This window comes from Homo sapiens, chromosome 14, assembly GCF_000001405.40.
Source record: "Homo sapiens chromosome 14, GRCh38.p14 Primary Assembly".
NCBI lineage: Eukaryota > Metazoa > Chordata > Mammalia > Primates > Hominidae > Homo > Homo sapiens.
Window position 1 is genome coordinate 82,948,539 of NC_000014.9, and position 3,670 is coordinate 82,952,208.

Sequence of the window (3,670 nt, forward strand, 5' to 3'; positions counted from 1 at the left end):
AAACTAAAATTGCAAATGACATCAATTTCTGAATAATACTCCATAAGAAGCAATTATCATTTTATTATCAAACTGACGAAAATACGTTAGCCTGTAGGTAAGCTGTGTTCAAATGATACATTATCTCAACTTATTTTAAAATAACTTCTTATAAAATAAATTTGTATTATAAATTAAAAAAAATTTACCCATGATATTATGGGATATATACATATAGATGGCGAAATGGTTTTAATAGTGAAGCAAATGAACATATCTATCATCTTAATTGAGTTCCTTCTTCTCCCTTTATATTTTCAGTTGACAGGTAATAATTGCACATATTTATAGGGTACAGAATGGATACTTCACATCATCTTAAATTATAACATATTTTTGTTGCCTTGTAGAGGTTATTAGTATAGCAGGGAATGTAGAAAGAGACCAATTGGATTCTATCAGGTTTTAGAACTCAAGGTGCTTTTCTACATGAAGGAGTTGCCTATGACGTACTGAGTAAAAATTGCATGAGACTGCCTAGGGAGAAAGGACAGAGTCAAAATACTAATGTGTAGTACAGTATGAATGTCATTTTCTAGCCCAACTATAGGAAGTAGACTTCATTCTTCATAGAAATAAAGACACTTCTGGAAGAAATTTAAGGTGTCATCATTCTTTAGAATCTATTTACAACTCAGAGATTCAGCATTGTTGCTTTGAGACACAGGTGAATGATAGAAGCCATTGATTGCTGAAAAGGGTGATTCTGTTCATTTATGTATGAGTTTCAGCATCACAGTGAACATGGAAAATAATCCTGTAGCATTTAAAGGGTTCGTATTGCAGTTTGGGTGGCACTGGGAACTGACCCTTAAGGCAGGAAGGCAAATAGTGCTTCCATGGAGATCAGCAATGAATTGTGTCCTCAGAAGAAAGAACATGGGCCAATGAAGATGGCCATGAGCAAATGTAAGATAAGTCTCGACTTCTCAAAATGTTAGGTAAGATTTCCTCCTCATGAATATTTGGAAGCTTGTGGTATTTGACATGATGACTTCATTTTTATTCTCAGACTCCTGAGGCTGATGGACATTAATTTTCTACAAATATTTGGTAAAAACTTGATCTGTTTTATCTTTACAGTCCTATAATGAATACATTATCATTCTCATGTTAATACAACTGAGTTATATCTCAGGAAGATTAATACATTGCCCATTCTTATTCAGACAGCAGATGACAGAACTAAGGTATTTTAATTGTAGATTATGGATGTTTTCACTGAACATAGTGGATCATTGCTTAAAAGCTTCATCTGTTTGACAGATAAGAATGCTATGTCTTCAAATGCTAGGTTTATCTCTAGGATTAATTCAAGTCTGTTCCCCTCTTTTGCATGAATTAGCTCTTCATTCTTCCTGAAAGAAATAGCAACAATGGTTTTAAACAGGCAAATGAAACACTTACAGATCTTCAAGGTCAAACCAAGCAACAAATTTAACAGAGGTAGATAAAGAATTGCAAATACAGTTTAGCTCAAGCAAAACAATCAGGACTGGGTGCGGTGGCTCACGCCTGTAATCCCAGCATTTTGGGAGGCTGAGGCAGACAGATCACGAGGTCAGGAGATCGAGACCATCCTGGCTAACACAGTGAAACCCCGTCTCTACTAAAAAATACAAAAAATTAGCCGGGCATGGTGGCGGGCGCCTGAAGTCCCAGCTACTTGGGAGGCTGAGGCAGGAGAATGGCGTGAACCCAGGAGGTGGAGCTTGCAGTGAGCTGAGATCATGCCACTGCATTCCAGCCTGGACAACAGAGCGAGACTCCCTCCGTCTCAAAAAAAAAAAAAAAAAAAGTCGCCTATACTTGTAAGGTGAACAATGAATTAAGCCAAGGCAACCAATGGCCCATTGAAAGCACATACCTTGAGATTAAAACTCTGTGGCCTTTTATTCCTAACCTTACCTCATAAATCTGAAGAGAATTTGTGTGTGTGTGTGTGTGTGTGTCTGTGTGTGTGTGTGTAGAAATATTAATAGAAACACTTAGTCAAGATATAGTAAATAATTTTATAGTTCATAAAGTTTATATTGGATAATTCTAAATATTTTTTCAACAGATTTCCTGTGATTGGTTTTTCACATATTATGTCAAAAGCAGTAGTGTGAATGAAATGCAGTTCACTGTTGGTTCCTAGAACTCTCTGGTTCGAGTTTAATAATTCTACTATTCTAAGAGGCCTGATAAAGATAGTTCTCTGGACTGATAAAACCTTTCTTTGGGAAGCTTCATTATTTTGTGTATGGGATAGGTGGGGGGTAAGTTTATCTCCACCTTTCCTCATGTGAAGGTTTCAAGTGGGTAATTGACAACCAGTTCCTCTAAACACTTAGCTAAAACTTCTGTTGCTGACAATTGTGTTCCTCTCTTCTCACAGATTTAACTCAGATTGGAATGTTAAGAAACATTTTGGCGGTAGGTTCCAGGTCTGTACTAAACACAGTTGTACACCACTCAAAATTTCCTTTTGGGACTGAAACACTCATTCCCCCAGTCGCCTAAAATCTTAGTGACTGACAGCTTGTATCTGCATCTCCCTGTAAGAATTATTTGAGCTAAAGAGAGTCACTGTGCCCAAGGTCATGCTTCCATGCCAAAGTCAGGCTCCTCCAATAACTGGTTGATGACAGTGAAGGCCCAGCTCCCTCACACCAGTAGGGACAACTCTTCAATGCCATCTTAGCTTCAGTGCTCTTTCCAATCTCTATGTGAGAGGTGACTTTCTGGGGAATCAACCTTGCCATGGGGACACAAAGGAAAAGCAGACAATAGGCTGCTGCCTTTGATTCTACATAACAAGCCATCTTTCAATTAGGCAAAATGCTTCCTTCTCAATGGTCAATCTACATGACAAGGGATCTATATTGAGACTGGGGTCCAAGGCCTAACTGTGATGGGTAGAGTTAGTTTACTAACTAACTAATTTGTTCACTGCACAAATATTTTCCTAGAATTTGTCATAAGAGAAATCTCTGAAAAATAGCAAGTATTTTTTGATGTCATAGAATGATGATGGGATATCTCACTCTTTTCCCTTTAGCATCTAAGGTGTATAATCATACCCACATAGAAACACACAAGTTGTTCCAGTGAGGTACTATTTGTAACAAATGATGGTTTCTCTAAAGCTTTGCACATTCTGTTCCATCTGTACGGTATAACCTCCATATCCCAAATCCTCCTTTATTGGACTAATGGCTCTCTGTCCTTTAAAACTCTGACCTCTTCTAAGAAGGCTTTCTAAAGCTAATTAAATGGGCTTTACGCCCTGTTCCTACAATCCTAAAGCATCATAAAATCCAAAGTTCTAATGTGAATGTGTTGGCTTTCTAAACCTAACCAAATGGGTTTTATGCCCTGTGCCTGTACTGTCAAAGAGTCATAAACTCCGAAATCCCAATGTGAAGGTGGTGTTACGTGTGTTTAATATGTCTTCACCTCAAGACTATGAAGGCTTTGTCACATTGTTTTTTAGCACCAACAATACCTGACACTAAGCAGGTACTCTAAACATTGGCCGTGCGATAGTTGTATTTGCCTCTCCTTATGTTCTCCCTGTAGATACTGAGATTTCTACAAATAGTACTTGGTAGTATTAGGGTCTCTAAGTCTCTAAAAATATCATATT

General features: G+C 37.6%; 1 annotated feature.

Annotated features, from left to right (window-relative positions):
- Positions 2,571 to 3,181: an enhancer, noted in NCBI's record as "OCT4-NANOG hESC enhancer chr14:83417453-83418063 (GRCh37/hg19 assembly coordinates)". NCBI's record gives its function as "activates a minimal SCP1, AML or CMV promoter by ChIP-STARR-seq in primed H9 embryonic stem cells {active_cell/tissue: H9 hESC(primed)}" and the evidence as "EXISTENCE:reporter gene assay evidence [ECO:0000049][PMID:30033119]".